This window comes from Homo sapiens, chromosome 17 (assembly GCF_000001405.40).
Source record: "Homo sapiens chromosome 17, GRCh38.p14 Primary Assembly".
Taxonomy (NCBI): domain Eukaryota; kingdom Metazoa; phylum Chordata; class Mammalia; order Primates; family Hominidae; genus Homo; species Homo sapiens.
The window spans coordinates 39614180-39626706 of record NC_000017.11 but is presented as its reverse complement, the minus strand read 5'-3'; the positions used below and the strand labels follow the sequence as shown (position 1 = coordinate 39626706).

General features: G+C 55.7%; 1 long non-coding RNA gene across 1 annotated transcript, besides 9 other annotated features; it reads right to left on the bottom strand.

Annotated features, from left to right (window-relative positions):
• On the bottom strand, positions 3547-4865 carry LOC124903997 (uncharacterized). The gene is made up of 2 exons (XR_007065748.1): positions 4811-4865; positions 3547-4631 (listed from the first exon to the last, which is right to left on the bottom strand). It is a non-coding gene; the product is annotated as an uncharacterized LOC124903997 (long non-coding RNA).
• Positions 4026-4315: an enhancer, noted in NCBI's record as "active region_12099". NCBI's record gives its function as "activates an Ori minimal core promoter by ATAC-STARR-seq in GM12878 lymphoblastoid cells {active_cell/tissue: GM12878}" and the evidence as "EXISTENCE:reporter gene assay evidence [ECO:0000049][PMID:35858748]".
• Positions 7303-7803: an enhancer, noted in NCBI's record as "H3K4me1 hESC enhancer chr17:37775157-37775657 (GRCh37/hg19 assembly coordinates)". NCBI's record gives its function as "activates a minimal SCP1, AML or CMV promoter by ChIP-STARR-seq in naive and primed H9 embryonic stem cells {active_cell/tissue: H9 hESC(naive and primed)}" and the evidence as "EXISTENCE:reporter gene assay evidence [ECO:0000049][PMID:30033119]".
• Positions 7804-8304: an enhancer, noted in NCBI's record as "H3K4me1 hESC enhancer chr17:37774656-37775156 (GRCh37/hg19 assembly coordinates)". NCBI's record gives its function as "activates a minimal SCP1, AML or CMV promoter by ChIP-STARR-seq in naive H9 embryonic stem cells {active_cell/tissue: H9 hESC(naive)}" and the evidence as "EXISTENCE:reporter gene assay evidence [ECO:0000049][PMID:30033119]".
• Positions 7804-8475: a biological region, named in NCBI's record as "VISTA enhancer hs627".
• Positions 7972-8475: an enhancer, noted in NCBI's record as "VISTA enhancer hs627". NCBI's record gives its function as "enhancer in: midbrain (mesencephalon)[3/8]" and the evidence as "EXISTENCE:transgenic organism evidence [ECO:0001131][PMID:17130149]".
• Positions 8537-8676: a silencer, noted in NCBI's record as "silent region_8459". NCBI's record gives its function as "represses an Ori minimal core promoter by ATAC-STARR-seq in GM12878 lymphoblastoid cells {active_cell/tissue: GM12878}" and the evidence as "EXISTENCE:reporter gene assay evidence [ECO:0000049][PMID:35858748]".
• Positions 8757-8856: a silencer, noted in NCBI's record as "silent region_8458". NCBI's record gives its function as "represses an Ori minimal core promoter by ATAC-STARR-seq in GM12878 lymphoblastoid cells {active_cell/tissue: GM12878}" and the evidence as "EXISTENCE:reporter gene assay evidence [ECO:0000049][PMID:35858748]".
• Positions 11340-11409: an enhancer, noted in NCBI's record as "active region_12098". NCBI's record gives its function as "activates an Ori minimal core promoter by ATAC-STARR-seq in GM12878 lymphoblastoid cells {active_cell/tissue: GM12878}" and the evidence as "EXISTENCE:reporter gene assay evidence [ECO:0000049][PMID:35858748]".
• Positions 11480-11539: an enhancer, noted in NCBI's record as "active region_12097". NCBI's record gives its function as "activates an Ori minimal core promoter by ATAC-STARR-seq in GM12878 lymphoblastoid cells {active_cell/tissue: GM12878}" and the evidence as "EXISTENCE:reporter gene assay evidence [ECO:0000049][PMID:35858748]".

Below are 12527 nucleotides of genomic sequence, written 5' to 3'. Positions count from 1 at the left end.
AAAGGGGGAGGGAGGGGGAGAGGGGCAGCGGGGAGGCAGGACTCTGGCTTTAACCCCTTCGTGGTCCTGGTACTGGGAGTTTCAGAGAGGCCTGCGAGGTCGTGGGGAGAGTACCAGCCTGTCACGCTGTGAATGGGGGTGTCCTGGAAAGGGAGCGAGTGTGACCGAGTTGTGTGTGGGAGGACACGTGTCAGTCATCGTGGCAGGGAGAGTGTGCAGGGGTGTGCCGGGGCCCTGTGGTGCCCATAGCCAGGGAGTGTGTTTTGGGGGGTCCGGTGTGGTGTGAGTGTGTCTGTGTAAGTGTGTCAGAGTGTCAAAGATGCAGGTGTGAGTGGCAGGGTGTGGGAGGACTGCGTGTGTGCGGGGGAGGGTGTGGGTGTGGGGGAGGATGTCAGAGGCTGTCAAGGTGATGGGCAGGCGTGTGCCAGCTTGCAGGGGGTGGGGGACTGTATCCACAGCTCCGCTGTGCAGTTGCTGGGGTATGAGGTTGTGGATGTGTGAGCGCTCCTGTGAGGGAGAAGGGGAATGTGCCCTGCCATGATGTACTGTAGATTCACGTGGCTCCTGTCTTTCCTCTCCGGATCTAATGGGGTGGGGAGGACAGGGCCGGCCCAGAGTTGGGGTGGGTTTGGGGGCTGCCTGTACACGTGCCATCACGTGCATGAATTTGGTGCATTCAGAAGCAGGGTTGGGGGAGACAGGTGTGAGCCTCTCTCTCTCCAGAGGTATTTGTGTGTGTCTCTGGAGCGGGAGCGGGAGGAGCTGGCCCTGTGGGTGGAATGTCCCTGTCTATTTGGTCTATTTGTCCGGGCCTTGGGTGCCTTTGCAGGAGCTGCTGTTTCCCTCCTTGGAGCTGTGCAGAGGGTCTGAATGCTTCTGTCTAGCACTGAGAGGGTGTGTGTAGACGTGTACATGCATGTTTTCCTGGGGCTCTGTTTGTGTTGGCGTCCTCTCTCCTGGTCACTCTCAGGCCTGAAACCCCCAATCCTCCTGCAGCTTTTCCACTCCCAGCCCCAGCATCTGGGTCCTGGGTGGAGTGAAAGGCCAGAGGAATCTTCTGGAATTGGGGTCAGGGCCCACTCTGGGGGTGAGGGAAAGGGTGGCAGGAGGTCCAGAGTGTTGCTCATAGGAGTGGGATGTCCTGGCCATCCAGCTCCACATCAGCCCACCCCAGGCCTGGCTCAAGTCCCTGTATGTTTGTTGACTTATATACTTGTTGGGAAACAGCTGGATGATAAGTTGTTGGCCCAGGGGTGTAGGCATCTCTGGCAGCCCCTAGGCTTGGCCCAGAACCTCTGTCGAAGATGGGGTGTGGTGGGGAGTGGCAAAGACCTGTTTGGCAGTGCCTTCGGAGGGTAAATAAGGAGGTCCTGAAAGGAAGAAGGGGTATGGGAAGGGCATGGCCCAGGCAGTGGCCCGGACAGCCACTGGGTGGGCAGAGGTGGGGAAGGGGCTTGTGGCTTCCAGTGCTGGCAGTGTGGGGAAGGATCGTGGGGATGAAGGGGACAGAGGATAGCTGGGAGGGTGATGAGAGGGTGGAGACAGGGAGGCATCAGCACCAGTTGCACCTCAGAGCCCATAGGAGCTGAAAAGGCCTCAGGGAACATGGCAGCTGAGCCCCATTTGAGCAGGAGGGCTTATTTACGGAGGCTCTGCTGAACTTATTGGAGCTCTGGGAGACCCCAGATCAGGAAACATTCCCCGGATCCCAGGCTGGGGCAGCTGAGAAGGGAGATGAGGGCAGAGAAGCCTCCCTCTCAGCTAGGCCTGGAAGATGAGGTCTTTGGGAGCGGAGGGAGGGTTTTTGCCCATCTCCCCCAGCCTGTGGCCAGGCTGGCATCTAAATCCTGGGGCCAAGAAGGGTGGGGAAGACTGGCTGACAGAGGGACAGACATGAAGGAGGAGGAAGAGACTGCACAGAGACAGGACGTGAGAGAGAGATTGGGGGGAGAGAGGAGAAAGCAAAGAGAGACAGAAAACATGGTTGAGAGATGGAGAGACAAAGGGAGGCAGAGAGAGAGACAGCGAACCTCACAACAGAGAAAGGCAGAAGACAGAGATGGAGAGAGAGTAAAAATAGCTCAGCATTAAGATAATTGCAGCTCGCAGCTCTGCCCTCCGTTAGGAATTAAATGAGGTTTTATTACTTTGATTTTTCTCTCCTGGATCCTACGCGACTTCTCAAGAACTTGGGGAAAAGTTTTTCAGGTGGGCGGCCAGGTGGTGGGGGCTGTGTGGGCGACAGAGGAGGAAGGGAATGGGACTCCTGAGAGCTGGAGGAGGGGTGGGCAGGGGCAAGGAGTGGGGAGGGGCTGCTGGGGACAGTGGAGTCCGGCAGGGGCTGGGGGAGATGGCTAGGACCAGGCACAGGGTGGGGGTGGGAGGGCACTGAGAAGCAAGGGGCCAGGGTGCCCTGCATTCACTTTGACTTAGAATTAATCATATGCAAATAAGATGTAAAAATAATATGCCACTCCTTGGTTATTATTCTTGGGTTAGAAGCACAGGCGGTTGGGTCCAAGGAACAAATTCAAGACCTCATTTGACGTAACTCTGATTGAACTGTGGGTCTCTCTGCTTGGACTGACAGAAAAAGTTGACGGTAGGGTGTCTATTAATGTACCATAGGTCTGAGCACACTATTTTGAGGCGTTTCTTTCCCATCATGTATCTTCACGCCATTGCTGGATGCCTGCCGCGGGGCCTGGCGTGCAGGAGGCCCTGCATTCACCTTTGGAGGGAAAATCTGGGAGGGTGGTGTGAGGCCTTTGCCCTCTTCCCCGGATGGGGGGAGAAGGGACACTGGGATCTGTCCCTCCCTCCTCCCAAGCAAGATGTGTTTACCTGGACAGAACATCAACTGGGAAGTCCCAGCCCTGGGTAGAATTTCAGATCTGTAATTTACTGTGTGAAATTGGACACATTTCTTAGCTACTCTCTGTGCCTCAGTTTCCTTATGCTTCAGAGCCCACCTCACATGGTGGCTGTGACTATTCAATAGGAAGAAAAATAAAGCCCCCGCCAGGGCAGGGTTCCTGATAGCCCTTGACCGAGGTTCCCGCTTAGAGCTCTCGGGATGCGCTTCCAGAAAGAGCCGGCAGGTGGCGGAGTCGGCCAGGGTTTGGGTGGCTGCTGCAGGCACTGTGGGTCTGGAGTTGGGCATCACACCCGTGACCTTGGCACCACAGAGCTGAGCCGGAGCCGGCTGGGTTGGCATGTGGCAGCTGGAAGGGAGGCCCCGGAAGTCCCAGGAAACACCCTTAGAGGAGCCGGGGAGTGCTGGCTGGGAGCACTGGGGTGTCTTTCCCTGCCCTTGGGGGAAGGGAGAAGGGGGGACGCGGGAGGAAGAGGAATTCCAAGACCCACCTCTCTGGGGAAACCCGTGTACCCGAGAGGAGAGGGCAAGGACACCCTCAGTAGGAGCAGTGGTGGCACCAAGACAGGTGGACAACCATCTGAGACACTCATTTACACATGCACTCATTCATTCATTCACCCATCGTCCATCCCTTTGCCCATTCAGTAAATTCACATTGGGTGCTTAGGTGCTTTTTTTCAAATCAGCTTTGTTGAGTTACAGTTTGCCTACAATAAAGTGTTAAATATACATTTCAATGAGTTTTTGGAAATTTATATAGCATTTGACCACCACAATACAGATATATAATGTTTCTGTCACCCCAGAACGTTCGTTTTTGCCCCATCCAAGTCAATCTCCCTTCTCCCCTCATTGGGTGTATCGTAACTCTTAGCACACTATTTTGATACGTGTCTTTCTCACCTTTTTTTTTTTTTTTTTTTTTTTTTGGAGACAGGATCTTGCTCTGTTGCCCAGGCTGGAGTGCAGTGGCGCCATCACGGCTCACTGCAGCCTCGACCTCCTAGGCTCAAACGATCCTCCTGCCTCAGCCTTCTGTGTAGCTGGAACTACAGATGTGCACCACCACACCTGACTAATGTTTTTTTTATTATTGTTTTTTGTAGAGACAGGGTCTCACTTTGTTGCCCAGGCTGGTCTCGAACTCCTGGGCTCAAGTGATCCTTCCGCCTCAGCCTCCCAAAGGCCTGGGATTACAGGCTTGAGCCACCGTCCCTGGCCGCCATCTCTGTTTACATCATCACCGACCTGCCACAGTACCCAGAATACAGCAGGCACTGCATGACGCCGAGAGGATGGTTTGAGAAGTGAATGAATAGATGAATACATGAGTCAGAAATTGACAACGGTGACACATATGGAGCCTCTGTGCTGGGCACCGGGGCTAGGCCCTTCCTATGCACTCTCATTTAATCCTCGCTAGTATCCTTCCAATTCACAGATGAGGCTATTAGATTCAGAGAGGTTCAGCAGCTTTTGCCCAGAGTCTGGGTTCAAACGCAAACAGTCCAACTCCAGAGCCCTCCCTCTTTAACTGCTGCTTTTAACACATTCAGGATGGACGCGTGGAAGATCGCTTGCACGCACTGCAGTGGGCTCCTCTCTTTCTCTGCCCTGGACCAGGTTTCTCTCTCTCAGTCCCGCCGGTTTGGACAGTTCTCGGAAGCAGTAGAGATCGATGTGCGGAGGCTGCCCTCTGGTGGCACAAACGAGTACAGCAGTATATGTGCCCTCTGGCGCCCCCAGGTGGGAGCTGGGAAGTTGAGAAGAGAGCAAGCTGCAGCCCACAGCAGGGGTAGCCTCAGTCCCCGGCACCTGGAGACCCCCTGCTCTGGCCACTGCCTGGTGCCCCCCGAGGTGCCAGCTGAGGCTGCCCCCGAAGAATGCCAGCTGCCGGAGCCCCCCGCCTCCCACTCCCTCCACCAGCCTTACACACACTCCAATCCCGGTCCAGTCGGCTGCTTCCATTCCCTGAAGAAGAGGCCCTAAAGTTAAAACAGCTGTTAATTTATAAACCAATTTTTCCGTGACTGCTTAATAAATCGCCAGCAGCTGCTCTGCCCCGTCCTCCTGCCCAGGCACCCGGCCCCGGGGGCTGCATGGAGAAGCTCAGAGCCGCCAGCCTGCCCTTCCTGCCTTCTTCCCCCAACCTCTCCAACTTGCTCCCATTCACCCAGAAACTGGGCATCTTGCAGGGCAGGTGGGTGGGGGCAGGGGTGTGGACCCTGATGAACCCCGATTCTCTGGTCTTCAGTGGAGTGCTGAGACAGGGATGGGTTTTCTTTCCTAATGGGCTGCAGCCCAAGGGCCATCCCTCCCTAAGTCCCACAACCCCCATATCCCACCCGACTTTCAGGTCCAGAAGGTGGGTGTCAAAGGTTTCTCTAGTTTTGGGGAAATGAGGGTGTCCAGATTCCCTGGGGAAGTCCCCCTGAGCCACCAGGAGGTAAGGGGACCCTGAGATCATGGGAATCCCAGTGTTCTGTCTCAGGGTGGTCCCCCTGACAGATGCTAATAGACTGACTCCCTGACCCTGCTGTGCTCTCAAGGGTGGGCTGGCAGGGGGCAAGAGATGCTGGGATAGCATCCTGTTCTGGAGCTCCCAGTGCCCACCCGTCCTGAGGCTCCAGTGTGGAGGGATCAGGGCCACCTGAATACTCACTTTGCCCAGCTTCTGCTAGCATATAAACAGCACCATGAAAATTCACATGGGGAGGGGCCATGTGAACTGCGGGCTTGAGGCCTGTTCTTTCTCCTTGCATCTGCAAGTTCCAAAGGGACCCAGGGTGAAAGGCCACCTGCCACCATGATCCCTGACTGCTGGGCAAGGGGGTCAATCTGGCTCAGCGTGTGCAGGGTGGTGAAGCACCCCAGCTCAGAAGCTCAAGTCCCAGTTCTACCACTTAGTAGCTGTGTGACCTTGGCCACATCATTTAACCTGTCTTTCCTTCCTCGGTGTCTCCATTTATAAAACGGGGATAACAATAGAATTATGAAAACTAAGCAAGTTGATGCTCATAAGCACACAGTTTAAAAAAACAAGTGATTTATTACAAAGTGTTGCTTAGTATTATCTTCTCATCCCCCTGCTGGAGACCGAAGCTCCTGGAAAACCCAAATAGGAAACCCAAATAGCAATTCTTGAGGTGGGGGTGCCCAAGACATTTCCAGGGGCAATGGGTGGGGGGCAGGTAGGAATGCAGGGACAAATTTTTTTTTCTTTTTTTTTGAGATGGAGTCTTGCTCTTGTCGCCCAAGCTGGAGTGCAGTGGCAGTGATCTTGGCTCACCGCAACCTCCGCCTCCCAGGTTCAAGCAATTCTCCTGACTCAGCCTTCCAAGTAGCTGAGATTACAGATGCCCGCCACCACACCCGGCTAATTTTTGTATTTTTAGTAGACACAGGGTTTCACCATGTTGGCCAGGCTGGTCTCGAACTCCTGACCTCAAGTGATCTGCCCGCCTTGGCCTCCCAAAATGCTGGGATTACAGGTGGGAGCCACCGCGTCCGGCCTATCAGGGACAAAATTTTTAAAACCCAGCCAGGATTCCTGAGTTCTGTGGTCCTCACAAGGCTTTATCATTCTGGGCCCTTCTGTTCTCCCCCACCCCTCCACCCCCATCCCCACCCATCTCCCACTACACAGCCAAGGCCCTTCCTTGGCCTGTCTGGGAAAGGAAGAAAAGGCTCCATCCCACCCCAGCCCCTGGAGCTCCCACCTTTCAAGAAGCAAGTTCTCTCTACCATCTAACTGAAAGCCCTTCCATTTCTCTAGTCATCAGGGGCTACCACAACGCCCTCTTGCTCTTCCAGGAGGCAGAGATCCCAGCAGGGGCAGAGATGGGGAGGGATCAGAGGGCCTGGAGGACTCTGTTGGACTCTGCCCTCACACAAGCCAGGTGTGAGCCTGGCCTTGCTACATCTTCCCTGTGTGTTCCAGAGCAGCTTAGTCAACCTCTCTGAGCCTTGTGTTCCACATGGAGATAATTCCAGAACCTACCTTCTGGGTTGTTGCAAGGTTTGGATGGGATACTGCCCATGAAGTTCTTAGCAAAGGATGTGGTTCAGAGCAGGAGCTGCAGAAATGGTGGTGGGGAGAGGTGGTGTGCTGGAAAGAACCCACACACAGCTGGACTGTCTGGGTTCAAACTCCACTCCACTACTCACAGCTGGGTGACCTTGAGCAGGTTGCTTAACCTTCGTGTGCCCCTGTTTCTCCATCCTTAAAACGGAGACTGTAACAGAACTTGTGTCACTGGGGGGTCGTGAGGCACCTAGAGCTTGCTGAACAGTTCTCCAGCTAAATAAATGTTTGCCGAGTTAATAGTCTTGTTAGTTGCTGTCATTATCATCGGCCCCCACTAGAGCACTGACCCTCCTTAGGCTGTGCCTTATCCAGGGGCTTGTTGATGGCAGAAGGTTGGAGGCTGAGCAGAACCAGACTAGAGACCCTGGCACGGGGAATACCGGCTCAGGACAGGCCCACAGTCCCCACCTCCTTAAGGTGCCCACCTCTGGCATCCTCCTACGCCCTGGCATGAGCACAACTGGTTCTGTCTGCCTCCCCCAGTCAATGGCCCTGCAAAGCAGCCAGCCCCCTCCCTGTGCCCGGGTCCTGACTACCTCCTGGAAATAAAGCAGGGTCCCCAGGGCCCACTCAAGCCCAGGACTACTCTGCCAGGGTGCCAGCTGGTGCCCATGGGGGCGGGGCAGCGGTTTGATCGTGTGGAAGGGGAAAGCTGGAGGCACCCCCAACCTTGTGGCGCCCACCAGATATAAGAAAAGGCTGGGGCCAACCAGAACATCCTTCTAGCTTCCTTCCCCTTGGGAGAAGAGGGGTGGGAGCTAAGATTTGCCTGTCCTGTGCCTCAGTTTACTCAGCCATCCAGGAGATGGAGTCTTCATTCCTGTCTCCCAGGCTACCTGGGGCCCCAAAGCCTTGGCATTGGCCTCTCACATCTCCTAGACCTCTTTCCTTTCTTAAAGAATCCTAGTTCAGCTCCTGGTCCCCGCCCAGGTTCTCTCCTTAGAAGCCACTAAGGAGGACACTGAGCCCCAGAGGGGGAGGCAGAAGCCACCGCACGCCGGAGACGGCCCCTGCAGAATGTGAGGCCGCATCTCCAACTCCTTCTAGGGTGCCAGTCCCCGCCGGGGTCAACGGCGATCCCCACCGCTGCCCCTTCCCGCCGCCACTGGCCCTTTAAGAGCCTCTCCGCGCGCTGCCGTCCCGGATCAGCCAGAGAGACCATTAAAATTTTATGCAGAATGAAAATGGGCCAGGTCTCCAGCTTCCTCGCTCCCATCCAATGATTTATTACTCGCAAATACCACAGAACTAATTAGTATAGTAATTAATTAATACGCATTTGCATATTTGCATGTGCAATTAGTGCAGTGGAGTGATTACTGGGAGAATGAGGGGCCCCGATTGTCAGATGTGAGGGGGAAGTGGCCTGGAAAAGAGTTAGTGGGAATGAACTTTGTAGGGAGCGAGATGGCGGGGAGGGAGGGGCAAGCGCGGGCGAGGCGGGGGGCACCGGGGCACCTCGCTGGGGCACAGGGCGGCCCCGCCCGGGAGCATGGGGCAGGACTCCCCTGCGGGCCCAGGACGCAGGTCGGGGGCCGAGACCCCGGAGCCCCCGCCCCGCCCGGCGCGCGGCCCCGCCCCGCCCCCGCCGCGTGGCATGGCTCCAAGCGCGCGCCTGATTGTTATGCATTGTGTTTCTTGTAGCGAACGGAGCCGGGCGGAATGGGGCTGGCACAAGCTGTTTCCCTGCCACGCGGCGGTGGCACCTTAAAGGGGCAGCGTCCCCTTCCCGCCGCCGCGGCCGGCCCGCCCGGCCCCCGCCGACCCCACCTCCGAGCCGGGGCGACCCGCTCCCCCAAGCCCGGCTCCCCCAAGCGGGAGGCCGCGGGGAGGCCGCCCCGGGAGGGCGCGCGGTCCCATGGGGCGCGGGGCACGTGCCGAGGGAGCCCGGCGGGCAGGAAGTCAGGGCTGCGAGCCGGGATTGGGCGGCTGGGGCGCGCCGGGCGCCGTGCCAGGCGCGGGGCGGGGGTGGCGAGGAGAGAACCGGGAGCAAGCCAGGAGAAGGACAAGGAGGAGAAGGAGCGAGTGGCGGGGGCTCACCGGGCGCCAGGTGCTTGCTCCTAGGACGCCGCTGCTCCTCCTTGCAAAGATTTTGTGAGGCAGGGCTTCTTATTCCCATTTTACAGACAGGAGGGCAGACGGGGGCGGGGGCTGCAGGTAGCTGGTGAGCAAGTGGTGAAGCTGGGGCTCCTGAAGCTGGTCTGTCCATCCCCAAATGTTCAACGCGGTGCCAAGGGCCAGAGGCTGGAGCGCCATCAGGGGACATCAGGGAGGACTTCCTGGTGGAGGCAGCACCTCACTGAGTCTGCAAGGGCTAGGAGGGAGTCTTCTGAAGAAGCTGAGGAAAGTGGTATATACAGGGTGGAAAAACTCCATGGTTAATGTGACTGCTCCCTCTCTGTGTTTAGAAGCAGCCTCCACCCACCTACCCACCCATGAGCAGAACTTGATAGATCCAGGCCAGGGCATCATGGCTCCTGTGACTTGGGGACCTGGCCAGAGGCCAGTTGCCAGAGGGCAAACCCTGGGCACAAGTCCTTCCCAGGGCACCCTCCTTTCCCTCTCCATTGCGGGGTCTGCTGGTCCTACGGTGTGGAGACCACAGCGGTTTCAGAGAAAGGGACACACTTTATAATAGTAAGAGCATGAGCCCTGGAGTCAAGTCAAACTTGGTTCAAATCCCAGCTCTGCCACTTTCTAGCTATGTGACCTTGACACATCAGCCTTGACGGCAACCTCTCTGTGCTTCAGCATCCTGGTCTTTAAGTGGTGGTACTAGGAATCCCTCCCACAGATGTCTTGTCAAGAATAAAATGATTCCTGTGAAGGCCAGTGCCTGGCACAGATAGCACTCACCATTGTCATTATTACATTAATAAGTATGTTATCACACAGAGTGCTGAGGCTCTGGGAATGAGAGGACCCCAAAGTGGCAACAGAGTCCTGGTTTCCAGTCCCAGCTCTGCCACTCACTTATTGTGTGACACAAGGCAGGTTGCTTCCCCTCTCTGTGGCTTCTTCATCTGTAAAATGGGGAGTGAGCCCATGAGACCCTACCTCTCTAGACTATTCCCTTCCCTCCCTGTGGACCCCAATTAAAAAGTCAGGCAGGGCACAGTGGTGTGGGCCTGTAGTCCCAGCTACTTGGGAGGCTCAGGTGGGAGGATTGCTTGAAGCCAGGTATTTGAGTCCAGTCTGGGCAACATAGCAAGACTCTTGTCTCTAAAAAAAACAAAAAACGGCTGGGCATGGTGGCTCACACCTGTAATCCCAGCACTTTGGGAGGCCAAAGTGGGTGGATCGCTTGAGGTCAGGAGTTTGAGACCTGCCTAGCCAAATGGTGAAACCCCATCTCTACTAAAATACAAAAATTAGCTGGGCGTGGTGGCGTGCGCCTGTAGTTCTAGCTACTCTGGAGGCTGAGGCTGGAGAATTGCTTGAGCCGGGAGGCAGAGGTTGCAGTGAGCTGGGATGGCGCCACTGCACTCCAGCCTGGGCGACAGAGCAAGACTCCGTCTCAAAAAAAAGAAAGAAAGAAAGAAAGAAAGAATCTCCACCCTTCATGCCAGGCAGTCCTTCCCAGGTCCACTCCTGGGGCTGACTCAAGAGATCTCTGGTTAAATTGTGACCTCCTGCCCTGACCACAGTGTCCTGCACACACCATACATTCTGCCCCAGTGACCTTTTGGGGCTGTCCTCCTGAGCACTAGCATCACCACTATGGTGTGGGTCATCCGTGCCTACTGTCAGGCCCATATGTCCCCTGCACCCATGCGCTCAAGGGACGTTTCAGGGAATAGTCCAGCACCAAGCCCCTAAAATTCCCCAGCCCAGATCCCTGGCTCTGATTTCCAGGGGCAGAAACTGGGAAATGCCCAGGTCACAGGGAAGGTCACAACAGAGCCCGCCCTAAGGAAAGAGGGCCCAGGATGCAGCCTGGTCCTGTGCTGTCCCCACTGCCCTGCGCTGCAGCATCAGGGAGGAGTTCCCCAACCCCCATCCGCCAGCACTTGGCCACCCAAGTGCGCACTTCATAACCTGCCGTCCTTTTGTTCCTCCCATCAGTGCTGAACTGCAGGTGACCAGGTGAACCGTGGTGCTAGTCCCATTTTACAGATGAGGAAGCAGGGGGTTACATGATCTGACCAAGGTCACAACGCTGCTAACTCTGGTACAGTTGCCACCTTGAGCTCCCTGTTCCTCTGCCTTCCTGTATGGACTCTGGGAGTGGGTTTGGGAGGGGCTGGAACAAGACATATCAACTTCTCCATGGAAAACTCACAAGAGAAGCAGAACAAAGATATGGTGATGAAGAGAGCTGCAGGAACAAAATTAAAAAAATAACATTGGGCCAGGTGCAGGGCTCACGCCTGTAATCCCAACACTTTGGGAGGCCGAGGTGGGCAGATCTCTTGAGGTCAGGAGTTCGAGACCAGCCTGGCCAACATGGGGAAACCCCATCTCTACCAAAAATACAAAAGGCAGCCAGGCGTGGTGGTGTGCGCCTACAGTCCCAGCTACTCAGGAGGCTGAGGTGGGAGGATTGCTTGAGCCCAGGAGGTGGAGGCTGCAGTGAGCTGAGACTGTGCCACTGCATTCCAGCCTGGGTGACAGAGTGAGACCCTGTCTCAAAAATAAACAAACAAACAAATAAATCAATAAGAAAAAAGGAAAAAAATAACACTGATTTTGCCTGAGGCAAAATCAGCCACCTCTGGAGAGAGCTGTTAGCTCATTTGAAGCTTATTAGCACGCCCATTTTACAGAGGGGAAAACTGACATTCCATGTCAGTGCTGATATTGGTGGGGAAGCTGAAGAGAAAAGAGGGAAGATTTTGAGGAGGGACTTCCTGTGGGTAGAGGTCCTGTGCTGGCTTGCAGCCTTCCATTTTGGGGGCAGAAGAACTGACACCACCACCCTCCCAACAGGAGCAGGACAGATCTTGGTGCCACAGCTATATATTGAGGATATTCTGTGTGCCAGGCTCTGGGTCCAGTTCCTGCCTTCGTGAAATGTGCTGCCCAGAGCGGCTTCCTGGAGGAGGTGATGCTTAGGCTTAAGGGGTGAGGAAGCTGGACTGGACACCTCAGGAAGACAGAACAGCCTGAACAAAGATTACTAGGCATGAGGCTTGTAAATCCAGAAATAGTTGGAGCTGCTGAGGGCACAGATAAAAGCAGCAGCCAAATCAGGGGTGTCCCTAAAGAGCATGGCCTCATCTTAGGGACACTGGGAGCCATGGAAGGCACCAGAGTAGGCAAATACCATGTTTGCATGGTATTTGCATTTTGGATAGGATGTGCAGGGTGGGTAGCCTTGGTCCCGTGAGGTAAGCCAGAGGAGCAAGGGCCCTTAAGAAGTCAGGGCCAGCTGGGCGCAGTGGCTCACGCCTGTAATCCCAGCACTTTGGGAGGCCGAGGCGGGCGGATCTCCTGAGGGTGGGAGTTCGAGATCAGCCTGACCAACATGGAGAAACACCATCTCCACTAAAAATACACAAAATTAGCCGGGCTTGGTGGTGCAGGCCTGTAATTCCAGCTACTCGGGAGGCTGAGGCAGGA